The 26,205-nt window shown below is 35.0% G+C and overlaps 2 protein-coding genes across 11 annotated transcripts in view; one reads left to right on the top strand and one right to left on the bottom strand.

Moving 5' to 3' along the window:
- The window catches only part of EYS (eyes shut homolog), a 1,987,247-nt gene extending 1,981,163 nt beyond the window's left edge, over positions 1–6,084 (top strand). For both annotated transcript variants that reach the window (NM_001142800.2, NM_001292009.2), the window contains one exon: positions 4,267–6,084. In NM_001142800.2, the coding sequence (NP_001136272.1) occupies positions 4,267–5,468 (1,202 nt within the window). In that variant the 3' untranslated portion in view covers positions 5,469–6,084. The remainder of the gene's footprint in view (positions 1–4,266) is intronic.
- PHF3 (PHD finger protein 3) overlaps positions 53–26,205 on the bottom strand; it is a 90,210-nt gene continuing 64,057 nt past the window's right edge. For all 9 annotated transcript variants that reach the window (NM_001290259.2, NM_001370348.2, NM_001370350.2 and 6 more), the window contains 8 exons: positions 25,598–25,714; positions 23,425–23,556; positions 22,393–22,528; positions 19,840–20,035; positions 19,188–19,335; positions 16,824–16,913; positions 14,702–14,897; positions 53–14,478 (listed from right to left, as the gene is read on the bottom strand). In NM_001290259.2, coding sequence (NP_001277188.1) covers positions 12,356–14,478; positions 14,702–14,897; positions 16,824–16,913; positions 19,188–19,335; positions 19,840–20,035; positions 22,393–22,528; positions 23,425–23,556; positions 25,598–25,714 — 3,138 coding nt within the window. In that variant the 3' untranslated portion in view covers positions 53–12,355. The remainder of the gene's footprint in view (positions 14,479–14,701; positions 14,898–16,823; positions 16,914–19,187; positions 19,336–19,839; positions 20,036–22,392; positions 22,529–23,424; positions 23,557–25,597; positions 25,715–26,205) is intronic.

The raw sequence follows: 26,205 nt of genomic DNA, 5'->3' as shown, positions 1-26,205 counted from the left end.
TAGGATTTTAAAAGGTACATATTTATCATAAAATATGAAATAAAGTATCCAATTAGTGTTTTAAAATTTAATTTTTTAGGTTTTACTTTACCCTTGATATCCATTTTCATTCATTTCTCCAAAATTCTGACAAAGACATCTGCACATATAGTTACATCTCTATTGCTAAGTATTTTTAAAATCTTACATTTGACTTTCTTTGATCTTGTCTCTCAGAAAATGAGAAACAATTTTGATATTGAGAAATAATTACATTTGCTAAATTTCACATCATTAGCAAAAATGGTGCTCTAATGATCATAATCTAAGTAGTTCTTATAGAAGTGTCTTGACTTGCTTCTAAATGATAAGAATATCAGGGAATTCGACCAAAGTGGTTCCACCTCAATGCACTTCTGAAATACCCTCAAAATAATTTCAAAGAGAAAAAGTACAATTGAGCTATAAAATACAGCTCAGAAGAAATTTGTTCTCCTGAGATATTTGGTTTTAAATTCATGATTAAATCTCCCTGTGAAAATGTCAAATAGGAGAACCACATACAAACATAAATTTTCTATTTATAAATCAAGAGACATTAAAAGACAATCAGCTTCAGTTATATTGCTAATAAAACTCAAAATTAATGTTAAGTGGGACCTATGTAAGAGGGCAGAAAATCAAGGTATATTCAGGATTGTGACTGGCTGGGAATATTGTACTACAGTTTTATAATCAGTACAACGATACATATTTGTTTGTGTATATGAAATATAAAGCTCATACACACTAATACACATAGGAGGGCAAGAGCACATCTTCTTACATCTGTTATTCAATGCATGTAGTTCAAGACAATCAAGAGTTTCCTTTTTTATGCCATCAGACACTACTTACAGAGATTCATTAGTTTCACACGATTGATGCTGCATTTGACACTTATATAAGAAAATCATGAAAATTTTTAAATATTAAAAATATAAGTTCTACATGCTTAAACCTAGATTAACCAAAAACAATTATCAGATGAAAGGCATAAACTTATTTTTTAGTAATCAAGTGATATAACAAGTTTATTTGAAGTCTCTCATTTATTTAAGGTTGCAGAAAATGCAGCTGACAGTCCTGTACTTTGTACCTTCTCTAAGAACTGTGCCTGATGTAAACATTAACCAAGTCTTCATAGTTGATCCTCTGCTAAGAGGACCTATTAGTAAAAACTAACCAAACAATACACAAAGTTAAAATCCAAAAATTTTAATAAAAGCAGCCAATGTGGTTTTCACATATTGAAAACCAAATTCTAAATTAACATGGTTTCTGTATCTCTTTAGAGGTTAATAATTTGAGTACTCTCAAGTAGTGTAAAATTTAAAACAAAATGATAACTTGAAAATTATACTAGATGATCTCAGATCTCTGATTTTTGAAAGATATTTTAAAGAAATAAGACTCTGGTCCCTTTTCATCTATTTCTGCTAAAAATTTAACACCTTTAAAAGATTTTTGATATATAAAAATTATCAACATTTTGTTAAGCACAAATTAATCAAAGCCTGAATTCATCTGATATAGTTATAATCCTCCCAACGTGTATAAAAAGGCCTAGTCATTGCAATGTGAAGTTAAAACATACTCAAATAATTAAACTATATTAAAAATATATAAATAAGTTTAAATTACCATTGCTTTCCTTTTCTACAGAAAAAAATGTATATACAATTCCCCTGATATGCTGATTCTGTAGTCTCTTCACAAATATTAGGTCCTACAAGGTTTCTCTTATCTATAATAAAGCACGGTGGGATAGCAGATGATGAGGTAGAAACAATAGCAGAACAAAGGTGGGAGAAGCCTCAGCCATGGTTGAGTGGGCATTAAATAGCCAAAGTGAATTCATTTATGATCTTTATCCTATTTGAGCTCTGTTTCTTGTAAGGACTGTTCATTACATTTTCTTACTCTAATGCGAATCCAAGGCCAGGTGCAGTGGCATATGCCTGTAATCCCACCACTTTGGGAGGCCGAGGTGGGCGGATCACCTGAAGTCAGGAGGTCAAGACCAGCCTGGCCAACATGGTAAAACCTCGCTCTACCCAAAATACAAAAATTAGCCGGCCGTGATGGCCAGTGCCTGTAGTCCCAGATACTCGGGAAACTGAGGCAGCCCGGGAGATGGAGGTTGCAGTGAGCCGAGATTGCACCATTGCACTCCAGCTTGGGGGACAGAGCAGGACTCTGGTCTCAAAATAATAATAATAATAATAATAATAATAATAATAATAATAATAATAATGCCAATGTGTACTTATGACCCATAACTAGAGCATCATATCCTAACGCAATGAAATTTAAAAGTCTATGATTTTTTAAGCTAATACAGCTTTTAGCTTCCATAGCCACAGAAAGAAAACTTTTTGTCAATTTTTCGTAAGAACATACTAGCTGAGTTAAAATAATCCTTTCTTCGCAGAAGCTATCCTTGCTCTTTCTTCTGGTTGGCAACATGACCAGTGATAGTATAGATCACAGCTTCAGCTTTCCTAATCATTTCTTAGATATTTTTTATTCTAATGTAGCTCTTCACTATAAAATTGTTTACTACAGGAACACTCTACAACACAAGGAGCAAGAAAAGCTTCCTCCATAATCTTGCAAAAGATAACTGGTTTGTGTTCACTTGCAGGCCACAAAGTATATTTAGGTTGCTATAAATTTTTTGAACTTAATTATCAATTATGTTTACTTGTTCCAGTTTTTGGTGGTATAACCCAATGTATATTTTTTCTTTCCTAATCTGAAAGTTTATAATGTTGCTTCTCTTTCCTTATAGTTAAAAATGCTATACATGTTAGAAATTATGCAAATAAACTGAGTTTCTTTGTTATGAATTTTTAAAACAATTTTCATGTCATTATAGGAAAAAAGTTTTTGCTTTCAAGCTAAAACTATTATTTGAGAAATATTCTGAGTCATCTCAACCCACAACCCTACAAACGTATTTCTTTATTTAATAATTATTTAGCATCTATTTATGGGCCAGATACCGTTTTGGGTGCTGGGAATCAACTGTTGGACCAAACCAAACACAGACCCTGTTCTCATAAAGCTTACAACCTAGTGGATAAAGCAGCTGTTAACCAAATATCACATATGTAACGACATAGTATACTCACTAAAAATTCCCTATGAGGAAAATAAAGCTAGAGAACGTAGTTTGATAGGTGAAGAACTATAGAGCTGCCAAACATTCCAACCAGTCTAGAATGGCTTGGTATAGACCACAATGGAGAATAGAAGGAAAGAACACCATTTGCAGGAGGGAGGTGTGGAAATAGGCACTCTGGAGGGAGGAAGAAGTAGTGTAGCATAATGCCGAATATCCCTGGATGAGAAAAGAAAAAGGTTGGGAAATTTCAGAGGGAGAAGAAAATGTTTCGTGGAGACTTCTGCGTGGTTCATTATTAATAAGTCATTTTGCTATCCTCTTCAAGCAATCTTACAGTGAAGAACATGCTTTTTCCAAGCTTGCAGAATTGCCTTTACTTTTCTTCTGAATGCCTCATTGCAACTTCAGATGCTGGATGGTATTTGTTCCTATTTCTTCACACGACTATATAATTATAAAATGAGATATACTGTAATGGAGGGAAACCTAGTGATATTAAGGCACTGACAGAAAAAAATTCCTGACCAGCTCTGGGAAATCAAGGAAAACTTCTCTGAGGAAGTGACACTTGATCTGAAACCTGAAGGACAGGTAGGAGTTATCTAGTTGAGGTGGAATGGGGTGGCGGAGTGTTCCTAGAAAACAGGCGAATGAAATCCTTAATTAACAAAGTCAGTGTTGTTGAAGTAAAGAGAGTGTAAGGATGGGGAAAGAGAACATTCCAGGTAAGGTTGGAGAGACAGGAAAGGAGCCAGGAATGTGCAGAGAATTTATAGGTACCTAGCCTGACAATAGTGAATGCCATTAAATGGTATCATAAGGAACAGGCTTTCATTTGAAGAAAAACCTCACTTTAACTTACTACCACAATATATTCATTCAATGAGAACTGTCCACAACTAGAGAAAATTTATGTAGCCAATTGCTGAACAAAATGAAAGAATACAGGATATATGCATTTTGCTCTGTGAGTGGAAACAAAACTAACACAATTGTGCTCAAGATCTGTTACTTTTTTCCCCATAACTAAAACTTATCCAACTTGGCCAGAAACAGCAAAAGTTTTCAATGGAAACTTTTACTGTTGCTAATCAAACTTACTGTTTGCTTTCTTGCAGGTGATTTTTTATGCATCTCTTTAGTAAATAGTTCCGTTCAACTTCGCTACAACCTTGGCGACAGAACTATCATTCTAGAAACTCTCCAAAAAGTAACTATAAACGGAAGTACTTGGCATATAATAAAAGCAGGAAGAGTTGGTGCAGAAGGCTACCTGGATCTAGATGGGATAAATGTAACAGAAAAGGCCTCCACTAAAATGAGTTCTCTGGACACAAATACAGACTTCTATATTGGAGGAGTATCTTCTTTAAATCTTGTAAATCCCATGGCAATAGAAAATGAACCTGTAGGTTTTCAAGGCTGTATCCGACAAGTTATCATAAATAATCAAGAATTACAATTAACTGAATTTGGAGCAAAAGGTGGCTCAAATGTAGGTGACTGTGATGGGACAGCCTGTGGGTACAACACATGCAGAAATGGAGGTGAATGTACAGTAAATGGCACAACTTTTTCTTGCAGATGTTTGCCAGATTGGGCTGGAAATACATGTAACCAGTCTGTGTCCTGTTTGAATAATCTTTGCCTCCACCAATCTTTATGTATACCTGACCAATCATTTTCTTACAGTTGCCTGTGTACTTTGGGTTGGGTGGGAAGGTATTGTGAAAACAAAACTTCATTTTCAACTGCAAAATTTATGGGTAATTCTTACATTAAATACATTGATCCAAATTATAGAATGAGAAACCTCCAGTTCACTACTATATCCTTAAATTTCAGTACCACTAAAACAGAAGGTCTAATTGTATGGATGGGAATAGCTCAAAATGAAGAAAATGATTTTCTGGCAATTGGTCTCCATAATCAGACCTTGAAAATAGCAGTTAACTTGGGAGAAAGAATCTCTGTGCCTATGAGCTATAACAATGGCACATTCTGTTGTAATAAATGGCACCATGTAGTTGTAATTCAAAATCAGACTCTTATCAAGGCCTACATAAATAACAGTCTAATTCTTTCCGAGGATATTGATCCACATAAAAACTTTGTGGCTCTAAACTATGATGGCATTTGTTATCTAGGGGGCTTTGAATATGGTAGAAAGGTAAATATCGTTACTCAAGAGATTTTTAAAACCAATTTTGTTGGCAAAATTAAAGATGTTGTATTTTTTCAGGAACCAAAAAACATTGAACTAATTAAATTAGAAGGATACAATGTTTATGATGGAGATGAACAAAATGAGGTTACATAAGTTAACACTAGAGATTTTAGTACACACTATACATAAATGCAGTTATTTTGATAGTTATTTCTTTGATACATTGCTTACGGGGAATCAACTGTTTACTATATTACCTGAAATAGTCTAAATGCTAACATATCTTTTTGATAAGATTGTAAAATGTCACTGAAGGTTCTGATTGTTTTTCCTACATCTAATTTATCTGTATATATTTTGATTCATGTTTTAACTCCATTAGTTCAGTGCTTATTCACAGAATGTGCTTATTCACTTTGCTTATTCACTTTTTACCTATCCCTAATGCTTACATTTTAAAATCAACGTGTAAACACAATTTTAAAAATCAATGTGTAAGCTGAACTTTAAAATGTTTAAAATTCAGTTGGGAATGAATTAGGGATAGGTACAAATAAGAAAAAAATCAAGTTATTAATCAAAGGAAAAATAAAAATTATACAAAGCAATGTAACCATATTGTATTACATGGCTTAGCTACAACTTATTTATATGATTCAACAATGTAAAACTTGAACATAGATTTAAACCAAAAATTATTGCATGAATGTAGAAAGAGAAGGTGAGAGGAGAGGAGAACAGGCTGGTAAGAGCTAAATCCTTATCTTTTATAGTAAGACATCAATAGATATTACAATATGTGCAACTTAAAACATAGCATATGCATATCACAAACATGAAGGCAAATATCCTAAATATCTAAAAGAATTAAAAATGGTTGCCTCTGGAGAGAAGAGTAGTGCAGAAGCCTGTTGCTTTTTGCTTATGAACCTTGTAGAACTATTTGACTTTTTAAAACCATGTACTCATATTAACTGATCAAATTAAAAAATTAACCTTAATTTGTGTTTAACTGCTTTCAAGTCTATACAGATCTCAAAATTGGGCATAAAATAGGTTCTAAACAATGCCATGGAAAATTACTATCCTAACAATTTAGTACTGTTGATAGCATAACTTGAAAAAATATTATTTTTCCCAAAACAGTTACTGATACAATTGTGAACAGAACTTTCACTTCCCACTCCCAGTCCACCACTGCAGGTTGGAAAGCAGTTACTGCTGTTGTTACCTGACATTTTCTGAGTTTGATATCTGTGATAATTTTGCCACTTGGCAACCGGCAACATATGACTGACTTGGTGAACTAACAGGTAGAATAGGTCATCTGGAGAAAAAAATCTTAGTAATAAGCAGCATGTAATGTTCAAAAGGAAAAATATGAAATTAATCATCAAGTAATTAGAGAAAAGATTTACAAAAAATAAGGGCTGATGAATACACATTTCTGTGCAGATTCCAGTCTATACAAAGTAACGAGGTAGTAATTTATCATTCAAAAACTATTAGAGATTTTTGTCTTATTTTAGCCACTCCATTCCAATCAAAAGGCTACAGACATTCCTAAAAGGACCTACGACCAGAGTTAAGAATGTCAACACCATTTGACAGGGCACAAATGTTTCCAAACATACAGTTCATATTAATACTAGGAAGTGTGAGGGTAGAATATAAGGTAGAATTGCAGAATGTTTACACATTGATTCAAAGGTTTGTTTTTTTAACGGAAACCACTTAAAACAACTCCATCAAATTTTGCTGAAAAACTGTGACCTAAACTGGTATTGCTCCATACTATTGCATTTAACTTTGGAGATACTCAGATCATAAGGATAAATGCTCTGAAGAAATTCCTTTTGGCAGCTGGTAATCAAATCTAACCTTTCAGAAAACATACTTTATGTATAAAAAGAAGGCTGTTTTATGAAAGCTTACAAAAGAAGAAACTGCCTGAACCACACTCCCATCATATTCGGCCATGTGTTCTCTCATAATAAAGTGTGCCTTTTCTTTAAAATAGCACTTCCCAAACTATGGTCCAAGAACCCCTGCGATCTTTTCAAGGAATCCAGAGTCCTCCCTTTCCCAAAAACAAATGCACATATAGCCAGATTTTCTTCATATATTTCAAATAAAATGACATACTACAAAACACTGAATGCAGGGCAGGTAAGAGAATCCAGCCCTAAGTCAGAAATTGGAAATATGCAAAAATCAAGACAATGACACTCTTCTTACTAAATTAGTTTGGAAGTTAACTTTTATATAAATGTTACATTAACAGATGAGATTATCATTAACAAATATTTTTAACGTTTATCATTTGATTTTCTAGTATGCTAAATAATGATATAAGCCATATAAACAAAAGCTTTGACATTCTCAATTTTTAAGAGTGTAAGGGGTCTTGAAAACAAAAGTTTGAGAATTGCTGCCTTAAAGCTTTTCACAGTTGCAATTTTACGTTCAGATTTTATAACTTTTCTACCTGTAATCTCCACAAAATTGGAACTTTCCCATTTTGCTCATCATTGAATTCCAAACGCAGAAAATTGTGCTTGCAGAATAGGCAGACAATATTTAAGAACTGAAAACTGCTGCCTTTTCTCCTATAAATCAAAATGACTTGAAAATATATTTTTCACCTTAAAATCCTGGAAAGTTCATGTAACAAATCAACACTATTCCCGCTTCCTATTTTTGCTATCCTGGTGATAATGGTGTTGACGATTTCCTATGTGAAATGCTTTTCCAGTACGAAATAAAAATGATTGGCTACAGAAAGACCTTTAAGATTTTACTATAAATGTATGAGGTTTCTCAAAGTGTTGAATGTAAACGGAACATTTTTTAAAAATAAGGTGCAGTAATATTTACCTTTTTGGTCTCCTTATAAATAATAAGTTCCTGAAAAAAATCATTACTTTGAGGACAAAATTATCTTAAAATAAGGAGTTTTAAAAGACAGCTTGGGCTAACATATATGTATATATACACACATGGACATGCACACACTGAATTATTTCATAGAAAAAGTATTTTGGGGATATTTAGAGTTATATTGGATTCACTGCCCTTTGAGTGCTTAGGCTATTTCCCTCAATGACTCTGCTCTGCATCTATCTATAAGATGAAACTTGACATGGTGAACTCAAGTTTTCAAAGGACTTCTTGCTACTGATCTGTTTTCAACTCACTACTTTTTTGCTCTACATATTACTATAATTGTGAAACAGAAATCAAAGAATTAGGGTGTTTGGCACCTTTTTAAAAGCAGTAACCAATTTTATTTGCAATTTGCTTTAAGAGACAGAAATAAACCTGATTGTGTATATAGTTCTTTGTAGTCATTAGTAAGTTGTAGCCTGACCAGTGTTACAGGGATCTGAGATAAGCATAGTACAACTAGTATATCCAAATGTTAAAATACTGTTTTACTAAGATCTGGTTCATTATCAAGCTCTCATAATGCATTTAAGTTTGGTTCATAAACTTTAAAAACACAGCTACTATTAAAAACTTAGGAACAACAGAGTAAAGTTACCTGTTGACGGGTAGTTTTATGTTAACACACACGTTAACATGGAGTGGCTTCACTTTTCACTCCATTTTCTTCTCTATTGCTGGTGTTATTGTTCTTAAATTTTTCACATGTATTTACTATAGCCTTAGCTATTCTATAAAGATTTCAGATTAATTCACCCACAATAAACTACAATTAGTAAGTCAAGGGCTGTTGGTAGATGATAATCCCCCAAAAGATGTCTACACCCCAATCCTTGGAACACCTGTAAATATGTTAGGTTACATGGGAATAGGGAATTAAGGTCACAGATGGAATTTAAGTTGCTCATCAGCTGACCTGAAAATAGGAACATTACCCTGGATTATCTGGGTGGGGTCAATGTAATCACAAGGGTCCTTTGTAGTAGAAGAGGGAATCAGAAGGGAAGGTCAGAGATACTAGAGAAAGACTGGGTCCCACACTGCTGGCTTCAAATATGGAGGAAGGGATCATGAGCCAAGGAAATTGGGTGCCCTCTAGAAGCTAGAAACCAAGGCGCAAAAAAAAAGGAATCTCCCTGAAAGTCTCCAGAAAATGAATGCATCTTGCTGACACCTTGATCTTACCCAGTGAGATCTGCACAGACTTCTGATCCACAGAACCGTAAGATCATAAATTTGTGTGGTTTTAAGCCACTACACTTGTAGTAATTCATCACAACAGCAATAGAAAACAGGAATAGAGAATTAGGATTTGTGATTAATATAAATTTTGCAAATCCGTACAAAAGAACTTACAGGTTTTTGGTTGTGTCTTCTGACTCACACTGAACAGTTGGGTTGCTCAGTGAAGGGTTTCAGACAGTTCAGTGGAACGCAAAGAAAGAGGGCTATGAAAGGTATATATGATCATCAGGCTTTTGCTTCTTTTTCTCATTCTCAATTCTCAGAGCACAATTGCTAAGCACATGGACTTTAGAGAAAAGAACTGAGCTAGGTAGGATTCCTGCTCTGACAACAGCAGGGTAACCTGGCCAAGTTTCCCAACTTCTCTAAGTTCCAGTTTCCTCAGCTCTAAGCCTTCACCTTTGAGTTGACCAATGTTTATACTAAGTGCTCAAAACCAGGGATGCCTTACAGAGGGCTCAAGGAGGCTTTCTGATTGCCACAAAGATTACATGGGGTGAACTTTACAGGTACTGAGATGCCCTGGTACTTTTACCTAATAGAGGTATGCATTCACTGTCTTAAGATGATTCTAAGTTTTTTTAAGTGTAAAACTTTTTTTAAAGAGCAGGTTTTTTCTTAAAACAGGAGAAACTGAAAGATGAAATTCATGTAATTCACTAGTTTGTGTAAGGCTGGTTGTACCTGGGACTGAGAATGGCTTTGGATCTACTACTCATTGAAAAATCTGCTCATTTTCCCTTTTTTTCCTCAAAAGGAAAACCTCAAATAGCTAATATGACCATACCTTCCCTATTCTCCATAAAATGTTTCAGTCAATCAGCGGTTACAAGATCTGCCTCTAACCCCTGGAGATGCTCATCCCTAATAGAAAGCTATATGGGCCTTGCCTATTTTAAAAACATGTATCAAGATTCGATCAGAACTGATTAAAGAATTTTAGATATGTAGAAAAAACTATTAGCGAAGAGGTGATCAAAAACTGACCTAAAAGCTTGTTTTCATTCATTAACCCACTCGTTTTTACTTTCATCTTGCAAAAGAAATCTGGAGTCTGATATTCCCTCAACCAGATATATCAGTAAAGGTAGATTTATTGACGATATACACATTTGAAATTGAAATGTTTTTAAAATGTGTAAAACCCTGACAGCAATTTCTTTGTAATGGTGCAAATTATAACTTAGATTTTGTTTTGTTTGGGAACTAACTTTGTTTTCTAACAAGTTAATTTCCAAAAGAAAAGTGGACCAAAGTTAAACGGGCTTTATTTAAACACAAGTTCTCTGTTTTAGAACCTTATGATAGTAAGTTTCACAGGATAAGGATAGGGAAAAAAGTACTGCAAGTCATTGCAAATTAAATAGAATGTTTGGTTCTGAATTTCCTCCCTTCTCTCCAGCAAAAATAACAAGGATAATTCTGTTTCAAAACCAATTTTTAACTCTAATCTTTAAGCTCTTTAGGAAAACAATCAATTTTGTGGAATTATTTATATTTTTCTTCATTAATACAGGTAAGTAAATAATAGAGTTCTCTTTCTTTTGTATTTTGGAAGGTTTTTCTTTTGTCAGCATCATTTGATAGCTCTTACTTTAAATTACAGCCATCAAAACCATGTGTTTTAGGGTTTAAATAAATTTAGATTTGAATTAACAATAGTTTTCATATTTTTTTTTCAAGTAAAACTGGCATATGAAACTGTACAGTTACTTTACGAATTAGGCTAAATCGCACATTTTATAAAAGGATTCAAAACATATTTCTCTTCAAGTTCTGCGGTCTTTAATTTTAATGATTAGTGAGTCAGAGTACCAAATTGCGATGGTGTAAAAGTTTTCAGAAACTTACCTATAAAGTGGGCTATAGCTGCACAGTGTTTCACAGGTAGTTCTAAATTCTAGCCTCTTTAGAACTACACAATTCATCTCAGCCTACAATTTAAGATTTTAAAAAAATTGTTTTTCCCCTCATCTAATGCCTGACATAGATAGCTATTTCTATATGTTCTTGGCTGAGTAACAAAAAATCAATGTCTGAAGGTAATTAAAGCTTTAAAGAAGAAATTCTTTTACTACTGAATTTCAAGTCACACACACAAAATAGGTGAGAAATTATTTTATCATATTTAGAATCAAAATATCCCTTAAAATATTTACATTTTACAGTAAAAAGGATAGCAAAACACAAGATCATGTACAAGCTTAAGTATTCAAGTTTCTGAAGAGCCAAAAATGAAAATGAAAATAATGGCCTACCACAAAGCTGTAGTATATGGTAATAAATGACTTCAATGAGTGCAGATTAAAGCAATAAATGTACCCCTTGGGCTTCTGATTCTTGGTCAAAAACTGCTCAACTAAATGATTAGCATAATCTGATTATGAAGTTGCTTGGATTTTTGTTGCTCCTCTACAGTTTCTTTAAAAACAGTGCAATTTAAAACAAACTTACAGAGCACACATTACTCCCAAATTAGTCATTATATAAAGGACATTCACTAGAGGAAGTAAATATATTCCATAGTTAACCATATTTACCAATTAAGGAATAAAACTAAAATTTCTAAGCCTTTATTGCATATTAATAAAACAAATCTTTGAATATACAGCAATGTAAAACTTTTAAAAATATTAAATTCCTATAACTAGGGACCGTTGGTATGAAGAAGGGATGATGAGCACTGGTACAGAGCACTCTGTACCAACACACAGAATTTACTGTTCTGCAAATGACCAATAGTAAAAATTTTAAAGATGGCACAATCCTAGCAGGCAATCTTTCTTTTGTTTACAAGATACAACATTTTAACAGTTATTTAAATGTAATCCTGAAGCAGCCTGCAAATTTTACCTTTTGCTTTTAGTTCTGTCAGTGTGGTCCCTATCTTTGTGGTACCTATCCCTGTCCTTTTCTCCTTCTCTGTGTTTACTTTTCTCTCGTTCTTTGTCCTTCTCATAGTCTTCACTTTTAGGTTTATCTGGCTTCTTGTCTACATTCCTACTATCTCTGCTTGCTTTTCCATCTGTTCCTCGATCACCATGTGATAACCGTGCCCTCTCTTTATCTTTGTGCCCTTCCTCCCTGCTTTTTCTGTCTCTGTCCTTGTCTTGGCTTCTGTCTCTGCGTCTATGCCTTTCAGATTCTTGCTCCCATTCCTTTTCATGTCGCTCTCTTTTCAAATGGTGTGAATCACTATAAAATCTCTGGCGGTCCCCTTTACCCCTATTAAATGGCCTATCCAGTTGCTGTTGGTCTTGCCTACCCCAAGGGTCACTATGGCGCCTTTCTGGCCTCCGAATGTCTTTAACCTGGTAAAAATTCTGCGGGCCTATATACCTTGATGCTTGTGAGAGAGGACCCATCATACGCTGTGGCTGACCTGGGAGATGAACAACAGGTGGCCAGGGAACCATGGGATTTTGAGCAAAGCCAAAGCCTGGAGGGGGAAGTAATGGAGGTGGCAAATGTGGTGGAAATCCAAACATGCTTTGTGGGGGAAAATTAGGAGGCCCTGGAAATGGAAATCCAGGTGGGCTAGACTTGAGATGCTGAAGGTTGGGCTGCTGTGGCCTCATGGGTGAAAAGTTTGTACTTGTTCTGGGGCTGGTGCTTCTGGAAGTAAAGGTGATGCTTTTAGAAGGAAATTCTGATGGACATGTGTTTCCAACTTCAAAATGAGATGTCGCTACTGCTGATCCTCTTCGAAATGGGTGCACAGTTTCAATATTTTGCATTAAAATATCCTCCTGTAAGGGTTTTGCTTGTTCTGCTTGAGAAGTCTGTATGTTTTCTACTGATGGTGAGTTTTGTGCAACTTTTAAATTGTCACTCTGCTGAACACACGAGTTTTTCTCTGCAGAACACAACTTTTCCTCTACATTGATTTGTTCTGTTAAGTGCTCCTTGTTGTGTGACAGGCCAGGCAGCATGTGTTTTTCTCCATTCCGGCAACTATCTCCATCTTTGCTTTCTGAAGTAGTTACAGGCTGACTTCGTCCTGCTGCTTGCCTAGGATCCCTTTTCAGGTTGATAAACTGTGGAGACCTCGCTGTATTAGCAACAAGGTTTTCACTACAGCTCACATTACCATCTATGTTTCCTTTTCCTACATTAGATCTGCATGGAGAACTATTTGAAGTCTGGTTATCTTGCAAATTATTCTCTTGATCTTCCTGAAGCTGTCTTTTTAATGTTTTCTCTTTACTCTCCACAGTTTCCTCTTGTTTTGACTGAATTGATAAATTTGTTAAAAATGCTTCTGTAGAAACATCTGGTGGCTTACCTCTGAGACTAAGACTCGTCAAAGACCCTGCAGAAATGGAAGAGGACCCTACTACTGATGTTTCTATTTCTGCTGACTTATCTGTAGATTCTGAAATATTATCTACTTTAACTTTTATCTCCTTGTTTTCACCATCAGTTACTTCCACATTATCTGTTTTCTCTATTTTTGAGTTGGTCTGCTCATTTAAAAATGGAATTTCTTTAACAGTGTTTTGTTCCATCACTGACTGGGCCTGGTCATATACTTGACCAGTGGTGCCCAAAAGGCTTTGAAGTATATCATCCACAGGAAGAGGTTTATTTGCTAATTCCAGAGTAGTAGGTTGATTCTCCCAGCCAATCAACACGCCAGGAAGAAATCTTAAAGGTTTTGGTGGCTCCTGTTTGGTGACTTCCATTAAAGGTTCAACTGCTGTTGGAAGGTCTTCCTGAAGATTCTGCTGAGGTTTATTTCTCTGCTTGTGTAATACAGTTGTAAAAGAATTAAAAAAGTCATTTTCTTCCTCTGGTGCTTCTTCTGTAGAAACTTCTATTTTACTTTTTTTATCAGGTGGCAATGCTATTGGTGGTGCACTTTCAGGAGTCTCAGCTATATGACTAGTACTAGCACAGGCACTGTGCTGTCGCTTCAGTTTCTGACGAATAATTAAGCCCAACAATAGATTAGGTCTATGCAGTTCAAGCCCTGTATAAAACCAAAAACATCAATTAATTCATCATTTTCAATCATTGCAAAAAAAGGTAAAATTCTGCCTCTAACTTATTACAGGATATTAAATGGTGCCTGGCCCTGTCAAGCCATCTCTAGAGGGCTGGATCCTGAGAAAGAAGGCAGAATCAGTCTTTTCACTCTGGTCCCACCTCCCATGTTATTTCATTCTTATCCTATTATTAAAACGTATACCTACCAGGTCCATCAAAAGGCACAAGAGGGTGTGGAATTTTATCTGTGGCACCCAAAGGAATAAGGTACATATCTTTAACCTGCTTCATGTTGTTAGCAGCTACTCCATAGCGCTTTCTGCTACTGAAGTATGCAAAGAGCAAAGTATAAGAAATTTGATCTTCTTCAGTTACTGGTGTGAAGCGAACCACACAAATTTCCTGTTCAAGAAAATAACAAATAATTGTTTAAGGTAATAAGCTAAAGAGTAGCTTGGTTTTAAAACTATTTCTCAATTAGTAATAATCTATTGAACTTTATAATGATGGTACCAAATAACGTGGTTTACCAACTTAAATACAGAAGAGAATATTAAAAGCAAGTAACTCTTAAGAAAAGATCTTTACTGATCCATTGATGGATTTATCTGATAGCTTACATTTCTTACGGAAACATAAGAAATGGAGTCCAAAGGTGATTAATGACTTTTTTGAAGGTGACAGATACAACTTGTCAGTGGCAGAGATGATACTGAAACCCAAGTCTTCTAATATCTACACTATATCCTGATTTCCAATGCTGTAACCTCCACAAAGGGCTGCTTATGTTCTTGAACCACTGGGAACTAAAAGCACCCAACACTTCCACCCTACCATACATTTATATACACAAACAGACAAATCTACTAATAATCCAGTTACTAGGCACTGAATTTAGAAATAAAAAGGGCTGGATGAAGAGACCTTAAATACATATAGACCGTAAATTTTGTAAAGTAATTTGGCTTAGGAATTTTCTTGCTTGCCTCTAGGTTTTGTTTCAGATAGAAAAGACAGTCCTAATTTGTTATTAATTTGGTAGTGTTCAACAACAATGTTTTTTTTCATGATGGTATATGGCCGAAATGGGAGAGCCAGATTTGCTGCAAAGCCTAAAACTGATACAAGCTCCTAAGGAAAACATGTGAATGAGCTGAAATATGACTCTCTTATAAAATGTGTGTCATCTAAACTGCCCTCTTTTAGAGTAAAAATCACCATACATATGTTAGTAACAACTATTACAGAGTGTTTAAATCTGTTAAATTGGAACATACTATAAAGTGTTGGGCAGTAATATATGTGTGGATTCAAGAGTGATTCTCAAAATGCCCAAGAGTAATACTTCTCATTTTTATTAGTGCTTTAAAGTTTATTTGTATTTTAACACTGTATCAATTTAAATTCTAAAAATCTATACTGGAACAAAATATTCTTTTCAGCTTAAGATTATCCATTTTGGATCATTCCAAAGAAAAGCTAGAGACTTCTGAAAAAGAGGCAAAAAAGTAACATTTATTCATTCAAGATTTATTTATCGAATGACTGTTAATATACTAGGTACTATCACATCCCGTGGAGGGAAAAACAATTTCTTCTAATGATTAAATTTTCCTCTGTAGTAATATTCTATAAGTTAAAAAAAGAAAAGAAAATGTAGAGAGAAAAAGGAAAAGGAGAAATATTATTGTGATAGAGCCATTTCGCAGTATCTTTTCTCCTTTCCTCCTATTACTAATAAGAAGCCCTTAACTTTTAGCTGGGCACATGGCCATCCAATAAAGATTACATTTCCCAGCCTCCCTAGCAGCTATGTATGGATGGCTATGTGACTAGGTTCTTTCCAATGGAAGTTAATGACTGCAATTTGCCTTTCAAACAACTAGACAGGTATTCCTCATTTACTCCTATTTGGTATGTTTGACTGCTGAGGACAACACTCCAATCAACTTCTGTATTTTTTGAGTCACTATATTTTAGATTCTCTTTTTTGCAATAGCTTAGCTGTGCCCTAACTCAAACACTTGTCTGTAATAGAAGCAAGGCAAAATTCCAGGGTGAATTTCAATACTTACTCTAAAACATTTCTTCTAAAACATTAACAGAAGCCACAAAGAGAGCATCCCAGGAGAGGAAAAAAAAAAAATGCTGTACTGTTGACAGCCTCAGCAAATGGCTTTTGTTCAGTTTTGTGAGGTATATTACATAGACTTAAAATGTGTATTGCCTCCTTTCCCCAGGAGACTTTGCACCCTTGCATAAGAATTCTAAACTGTTTACTTTCTAAACATTTTCCCATGCTGGTATAGTGAAAAAAGTTTTCCTCACCTTGGTTCCTGATGCTTTTATTTTTTCCACATAATCCCAAACTGTCTGAGGTGATATCCTGCCACCTACTTGAATACTATCTGGTAGGTCCTATGGTTAAAAAAAAAAAAAAGAGATCAATATATATAGATTATCTTTATTATGACATTAGTAATTCATACAAATTTGATTCTAAGACTAATTTGAAACAGTAATAAAAACAAGTAAATAAAGAGATTATGAAAAATGCATCGGAAAACAGAATACAGAGAGCAATTAGGTTTTACTTGAAATGCCAACTACAAATGACTGTTGCCTAAAATACAGCTACTAAGAAAGAGTCTGAGTTCATGCCCAATCTCACTATGAAAGATGGGAAAGGGAAGCAATGGCAAGCATACCACATTAACAATTCAGAAAGAACACAACACATTTCAGAATATTAGCAGAGATTGTAACCTCCCCTTTTGGTAGCAGTAGGCAGGAAAATTCCTTAATAATTAACAGCTGAATTTCAAAGGTTACCAAATGTAATTACAGAGTGTATTTTTGCACAAAGGAGAATAATATTGTAATAATTCAAGGTTTATTTTTTTAAAGGCATAATCTTTCTGAAAACAGATGACTACACATGAAAGCAATTAAGAATATTTAAAACTTTATTCAGTACATTCCTATTTTTTCCACGAAGACTGAGGAAAATCATAAAAACATAATTGATATTAAATTCAATTTAGTTTATTTAAATTATTAACTACTTTAAAATATTTGATTTGGGATTTCAGTCCAAACTAAAAACAAGTACAAAACGGAAGTGAAAATCTGGAAAGCAACCACATAAAAACTGTGTCTCGGAGGGGAAAATAATAATCTTGTTTAAAATCAAAAGGATTTTGTAGTTAAGGGCTTACCTCTCCGTTTAAAGAATTATCTTCACCATGGACTGACCAAATAATAAATTTCTAAACAGATTTGCTCAAGAAGAACATCATGGATCTAATTCATTTTTCTCTTATAAAGCTCACATTTTTAAAATATCAAGCAAACTGTATATAAAAGTGATTAGTCTGTTTATTAATCGAAAACACACTGCTAGGCTGGGCCCGGTGGCTCACATCTGTAATCCCAGTATTCTGGGAGGCAGAGGCAAGCAGATCACTTGAGGGCAGTAGTTCAGAACCGGCCTGGCTAACATGGTGAAGCCCCGTTTCTACTAAAAATACAAAAATTAGCCAGGTGTGGTAGCACACATCTGTTAATCCCAGCTACATGGGAGGCTGAGACAGGAGAATGGTTGAACCCGGGAGGCAGACATTGCAGCAAGCCAAGATCACGCCACTGCACTCCAGCCAGGGCGACAGGGCAGACTCTGTCTCAAAACAAAAACAAAAACAAAAACAAAAACAAAAACAAACCCACAACTGCTAACCAAATAAACTGATCAATATTACATAAACAGTATTACATTGAATTAAACTAATTGCAGCCTAATCCAAAGAAAAGTGAAGTTTATGTTAGCCTTAAAAAAAAAAAAAAGACAGGCAAATGATTTAGGCTTTTTCAAATAATAAAAGGAATTTTTTTACAATCTTTTAATTCTTTAAAATCAGCAGATAGAGAATAAATGAAAAAGGTCAGATACGAACAAGATAGCAAAATATGATCTCAACATAAATACAGTATATATGTACTGATTTATTTTCCTTCTATACACATATAAAAATACATTTCCTTCAAAATAATTCAAAAATGTCACTGTCTCATTTATCACAATATTATAATGTTACTGCTGCTTATTTTCCATAAATACCACATAATAGTTTCTTTCTATTTCCCTCAGGTGTAGAACCAACCAAGGGTATCACTTGCAGCAACTACAGTCACTAGTCTCACTGGTTTTCAACTAGCTGTAAAGCTTCAACTCCCAGTCTACATAAACCACATTCACAGAAATAGGCAGGTAAGAACAGTAGTCATGAAGATGGGGAAACATAAGCAGTGGGGAAATCAGAAGATCTGTTTAACAAAAAATTCTTAATGTGTTAACATTAAAGACCAAAAGTATGTAAATCTTTTATTTAAGTGTGTATTCAAAGAAAAACTTGGATATCCATGTAGACTCTCATTGATTTTGAATTATCTGACACAGTGAGGCAGTACATCTTGGGAAAAGTGCAGGACATAGGAGTTTAAAACTTTCAGAGAATAGTTTATTTTACAATTCTAAAGATCCATTTGTTAATTCATAATTATATTACTTGGACTGTTTAAAAATCATTGTTAATAAATATTTCTATTACTAACTCTGTCTTATTTCCCTGTCAATTACTTTCAGAAACACACATTATCAATTCATGCACAGAAAAGCAGAAAAGTTCACAGTACCTCTGTCAGGTATTCTGGGGAGCCAGATACTGGATAGGCTTTGGTAACAAATTTTGCCACAGAAGGCATGTTGATAAAACCTTTCCAGATGAAGTTCAATCGAGCCAGAAAGGTAGACTCAACTTCAACAGTTCCAGGCATCTCTGGACTAGAAAATGACATTAAAAAGCCTAAAGACAAGCTGATGAATAAATCAATGTCCTACCTAGTCATCAGTTACTCGTATTTTAGCATGTGAAGAAGGCCAAAATATGAGGCTATTGACAAAGAGTTCACACTTTCATTTTATAAAATTACATTCATATTTACATAGTAATGTTTTACAAAATCTTCCCTCTTGGCTGGCTTAGGAGAACTAAGATTGAGAAAAGTGCAAACATTTCGTCTTTAATAATCTATCCCTGACTTTTGGGACCAGCATAATTAAAGAGAATTTTAAAGCTGTTTCCCCACACGCTCCAATCTCTCACTGAAAACACTCCAAATATATTTATTTTCGAAGTCTTGTTTTATCTCAAAGTACAGGAAAGTACAGTTATTTTCTCAAATGAGAGGTTCCCAAAATGTCACTTTTCTGTTTTTGAAGACTTGCAAGTATAATCTGGCAAAGATCTATAATGAGTATTACAGAATTTACAACAGAGAAAATTACCGTGGAGCAGGAGAGAACGTTGACTTTGGAGACTCCTGTTTCTCCTCCTCAAAGAATTCAGAAGCCAAAATATTTGAGGTTGAAGATAATGCATCTGCTATACTTTCTGCTTCATTGTCTGAATGTTTGCGAGCTACTCCTACAACAACTTTTACTTTTTTTGGAGAAAGATCATCTACAGGTGGTGCCATTCGACCTAAGCCCAGAATACATCAAAAGAAACCAACTGTTAACTACAACTTTTATAACTTAACCCATTTTCACTTTCTAAAGTTATTCAGGTTCTATGATTCAATTGCTGAGTAACCATACATTTCCTGGGGTTATATCTAACTGTCATCATTTAGTTGTATCACAACCACATTTAAGAATCAGCAGAAAATTCACTAGTGTTCTCCCCACTGCCAGCCCTCTTCTATATACAGGGACCTAAGCTTATCTGAAATGCAATTCAAAGCAAATCATGCATGGTTCTACCTGTAATAAAGTTAATTTCCCCTTAAAATCTCTTTATAATTATTTCCTACATGTAAAACATATCATGAGTAAATATGGACAAGATTAGCAGTCCCCAACCTTTTTATCACCAGCAACCAATTTCATGGAAGACAATTTTCCCATGGACGGTGGGATGAGGGGAGAGATGGTTTCAGGATGAAACCATTACACCTCAGATCATCAAGCATTAATAGTTAGATTCTCATAAGGAGCACGCAACCTAGATCCTTCACATGTGCAGTTCACAATAGGGTTTGCACCCCTATGAGAACCTAACGCCACTGCATCTGACAGGAGGCGGAGCTCAGGCAGTATCGTCCACCGCTCACCTCCTGCTGTGAGGCCCAGTTCCTAATAGGCCATGGACCGTACAGGTTTGTGGCCCGGGGGTTGAGGACCCCTAAGGTAGTAATTCCTCTCTTAGTGAAGTGAAAAATTAGAAGAAGAGAATGTTAAACAACTCAGACAAGCTAAAATGAAAATATTATTACTAGAACCTAAAACAGGTTTCTTAATTCTCTGACAATTTTACCAAATTCCAATAGTCTCGAGAAGTAACATGAAGAACTAAGACAAATCTGTATTATCTGTATCCAGGTTTGGATTATATAGCAACAGCTCATGACTATACATGCCTGAAGAGACACCTCACCAGAGAAGCTATACAGGTGGCATATAAGCATGAAAAGATGCTCCACATATGTCATCAGGAAAATGCAAAGTAAAACAACAGAGAGATACCACTATACACCTATTAGAATGGCCAAAATCTAGAATACTGACAATACCAAATGCTAGCAAAGATGTAGAGCAACAGGAACTCTCATTCATTGCTGGCGGGAAGGCAAAATGAACTCTGATTCGTTGCTGGCAGGAAGGCAAAATGGCTCAGCCTCTGTGAAAAATAGTTTGGAGGTTTCTTATAAGATAAACATACTCTTACCATACAATCCAGCAATTGTGCTCCATGGTATTTACCCAAAGGAGCTGAAAACACATCCACACAAAAAGCTGCATACAAATGTTTATACTAGTTTTATTCGTAATTGCCAAAACTTGTAATAAAACAAGATCTCCTACATTAAGTGAATGGAAAAACTATACATCCAGACAATGGAATATTATTCAATGCTACAAAGAAATGAGTTATCCAGCCATGAAAAGACATAGGGGAAGCTTAAATGCATATTACTAAGTGAAAGTAGCCAATCTGAAAATGTTACATACTAGATGATTCCAATTACACAATATTCTGAAAAAAGCAAAACTACAGAGACAATGAAAAGATCAGTGGTTTCCAGGGGCTGGTGGGGGTGTTGGGGGAAGGGATGAATAGACAGAGTAAAGAGGATTTTTAGGGCAGTGAAAATACTCTGTATAATACTATAATGCTAGATTCACGTCTTTACACATTTGTCCATACCCACAGAATGAACAACTCTAAGAGTGAACGCCAATGTAAACTATGGATTTGGGGTCATTATTTTTCAATGTAGGTTTGTCAACTGTAGTAACTGCACCACTCTGGTGTGGGATGTTGCTAACAGTGGAGACTATGCACGTAGGGAGGCAGCAGGTATGTGAGAAATCTCTGTAACTTCCTCCCAATTTTGCTATGAACCTAAAAGTGCTCTTAAAAATAAAAAGCTTTTTTACAAAAAAGTAATTTCAGTTTCTGATTTGTCTTATGTTATATATAATAAAATATAAATGCTATTTTACTCCTTTACTTTAGTAAATGACAGTATCATCACAACTGCCCACAATGTTTGATGTTCATTCTAATGGTTAAATTCTTGTCATTTGACTCCAGCAAGAACAGTTTTTAAGTTCAAATCATATATAGTATAATTAGGTCTAGACAGTAGACTATACCACAGTATCAAACTATACCTCAACCCAGAAAACCAGTCACACGAAAGCTTAAAGACTGTGAGTGAGTGCCTCACCACCAATATTGGGAAAACAAAACCTACTTAAATTACATATACTAGTATCTAAGTATCCTTCTTTCATAATGAATGCAAAATTTTACGAAGAAAAACTTCCAATTACCTATGCAGATTTTGCAGTTGAGATCAAAAAGATGCTGTCTGTGTTGACTAGTGGTATCTTTAGACATAGAGTCAACCTCCTCTTTTTGTTTTTCAGATCCTTCTGGCTTCTCCAATGACTTATTGGCGGCTGGTTCCTAACGTAAGTCAAAGTAAAAATTAGTTTTAGCTGATAAAATTTGGCCTCAATTATCAAAATCAATTTATATTTTCCATTTATATTTTCCTAAAATGCAGTTGTTCCATAGATAAGTTTTTGATTTTTGTTTTTTGGTTTTTTTTTACTATTTCTTAAGAAAATGAATGCTAGCTTTTAACTGTGACTTAAAAGAGCAAAAATTAAAACATTCCCCATTCTTCAAGCCTTCTAGTAAGATTTCAAATTATTTCTTCACTGACTTTTGAAAATAAGAAAAGCTATGCCACCTATCAAATGACACTCTGCCTAAGAAACACTTACAAATTTCTAAGCCTACTAAAAAATTCACTAAGTCAGGCCAGGCACGGTGGCTCACACCTGTGATCCCCACACTTTGGGAGGCCGAGGTGGGCAGATCACTTGAGGTCAGGAGTTTAAGACCAGCCTGGCCAACATGGTGAAACTCTGTCTCTACTAAAAATACAAAAATTAGCTGGGTGTATTGGCGCATGCCTGTAATCCCAACTACTTGGGAGGCTGAGGTGGCAGCATCGCTTGAACCTGGGAGGCGGAGGTTGCAGTGAGCCGAGATTGCTCCACTGCACTCCAGCCTGGGCAACAAAGCAAGACTCTATCCCACCAAAAAATAAAAAGAAATTCACTAAGTCAGAGCACTCCAGGAATCTACACTGTAATAACTGTTCAACAGGTACCTATAATGCAATTTGAGAGACATTACTCAACACTCAAAAAACCACTAAACCAATAAAATAGGCTACTTTTAAATGGATGCATATTTTAAAATTCTTTTCTCTACTTTAAAAACATTAGGCAAATAAACCTTTTCTGAATCTTCATGTTTTGAGCTATAAAACATGGCATATCTATCCTTACCTGAATCTCCATGGCTGCTTCCTGTTCTTTCATTGGGGCATCACTCTCAATTTCTATTTCACCTTTATGAGTTATTTTGGTGATTGGCCGTCGTTCCACTTCTCTCTGCTCTTTCTCAATCATTTCTATGGTCTAACAGAAAATACTTTTTTAAAAATATTAAATTTAAAATATGTATTTCCAAGTGTACACCTTAAATAATAAGAGCTTACCTAAAAATAAACAAATCACCACAGATGACTTTTAATCTTAAGGTAATGTCTCATATAACAAACATATTCTGAGTACTTTTATATGCCAGAGACAGTTTTAAGTACTGCGGTTATAAGAATTAGACCCCGTACCTCAACCATGAGAAGTTCACATGTACATTTATATCAGGAGGCAAATGAAGTCCAAAGTAATTTGCAAAGTGGTGAAACATACTATTTGTATTTGAAATCTGTTTGCTGATTTAGTACTTTTTAGCAGCTGCCACAGGGAAATAGGAACTATTTTGCTCTTAAATTCCTAATTCAATGTTCTAACATCCCCCACAATAGTAGTTTATTCAAATGACCGATCTGGTAGTCCTTTGTTAGCTGTCTCCTAACTAAGCCTGCTTAGTGACCCTGAAAATTCGGTTGAACAAGCTTAGCAACAAAACATCAAAATTAAGCAAGTATAACAAGTAGTAGTATAAAGGTAGCCAGGAATAGAACAGGTAAGGAAGGCATAGATGGTACTGCCTTTGTTAAGTACAAATCATCCTTTAAAGAAAAATCAGGTACATGGCCTTAAGAAAGAACAAGCTGGCATTTTCTGATACAGATGTTACTCGCAGCCAGTTTCAAAGCAGAAGAGTGGCATGTGCATATTTGAGATATGGAGGGAAGGAAGAGGAGGTGATATTATTTTCAAAATATAAGAGGAGGAGAAATTACATACGGTGAAGGTAAAGGAATGTATGAAGAAGTATGATATGTCAAATCAAGGCCTCTAGATGAGCTTCAAACTAGATCTGGCATAGGTCTATATGGAGGTTTAGTGCCTGAGATGTAACTAAATATTATGAACAAAAGAATCAGATAAATCATGTAGAGTTAATATGAACTACAACCAGTATTTTCTAGAATAAGGGGCTAACATTCTGATGCCATTGTAATACAAAAATTGGATAACATGGCTATCTCACTGTCACAATGGCTCTAAGTAACATACTTAATTTTTAAAGGTACTTTAAATACCTTTAAGTTCACAATCTCCAAACAAAAATTCTTGCTATCTGTGAGTTTCAGAATTTTTAAATTTAAACATGAAATATGGTGCACACACTCTATATTACATAACATTCCAGTTAGGTCTGAGACACGTAATTAAATATACAATATTTCTGTGAATATGAACATTCATACATGGCAATTCAGGTTAAGCTTTATCAATAAATTAGTTATGCGAAAATAACTTTATTTTTCAGGGCTTTTGGCATTTGAAACTTTGGATAAGAGATAAGCCTGTACACATTTTTATTCTGACTTAATTCATCTGGCTCTACAAATTACCAATATTCATAATACCTTCAAACTGTGCTGCTGAAAAATACAGATGTAATTATGAAAAGATGTTAATTCTTTTCCCATCCTTCTCATTTACAAACTATAATAAAACACAAGGTAATTCTGTAACCTAGTAACTGGAGAAAATGAGAAAAAAACCTGACAAGATCAGAGAAACCAACAGAATTTAAGAACTAGAGGAATGGAGAACAAGTAATTAAAAGAAGCATGTAGGTGGCTCATGCCTGTAATCCCCACACTTTGGGAGGCTGAGGTGGGCGGATCATGAGGTCAGGAGATCGAGACCATCCTGGTTTAAGAGGTAAAACCCCACCTCTACTAAAAATACAAAAATTAACTGGGCGTGGCAGCACGTGCCTGTAATCCCAGCTACTTGGGAGGCTGAGGCAGGAGAATCACTTGAACCCAGGAGGCAGAGGTTGCAGTGAGCTGAGATCATGCTGCTGCACTCCAGCCTGGCGAATGAGCTAGACGCCATCTCAAAAAAAAAAGAAGCATGTAACAGAAAGTCTGTGTTATTATGCAGTCTGTGTTGAATTTACCTCTGTATAATTTTTACCCAATGGCTGAAAAACATAGATTTTGATAGTCAAATGCATATTTATAGATAATCTTACATGTCTGTTTTCTCTTCGTCTCCAAGCAGCTAACTCTTTAGAAGCTAGTTCTTCTGGACTCATTCTGATAAGATGATCAGGAGTTACTTCTCCTTTCAGTACTTTTTTAAATAATATCTGGAAGGATTTTAAAATAGGAATAGAAGGGGAGACAAACATTTTGAGTGGCTACTACACAGAAATTTATAATAAAGATACAATTTTTGAAGACTGATTTACAAATACTTAATTATTTATATATTACCTACTACACAGAGATTAAATGACAGCTTTGTGTTCTAGGAATTTAAGGCAGCAAAACACACATTTCATATAAAAATCAACATATATGGAGAAGCATGTACAGTAGAACCATTACAATACCTACCCAAAAGTTGTATTAAGTCTACCCAGGGACACAATATAACCATAACAATAAGCAATCTATAGTATAGCGAGGTACTGCATCAAAGAGCTTTACTCAATGTAATGGTCTTCATAGTTTTAAGATTTTACATATTTAAATCCTGACAGGCTTGGAGGAAACTGCAGAGCAAAAAACCACCTGCAAGAAAGAAACCTGAAAGAAACCTGAGGGAGGCCGGGTGCCGCAGCTCACGCCTGTAATG

The sequence above is a fragment of the Homo sapiens genome, chromosome 6 (genome assembly GCF_000001405.40).
Source record: "Homo sapiens chromosome 6, GRCh38.p14 Primary Assembly".
Classification (NCBI taxonomy): Eukaryota; Metazoa; Chordata; class Mammalia; order Primates; family Hominidae; genus Homo; species Homo sapiens.
This window is presented reverse-complemented; position numbering and strand designations above follow the sequence as displayed.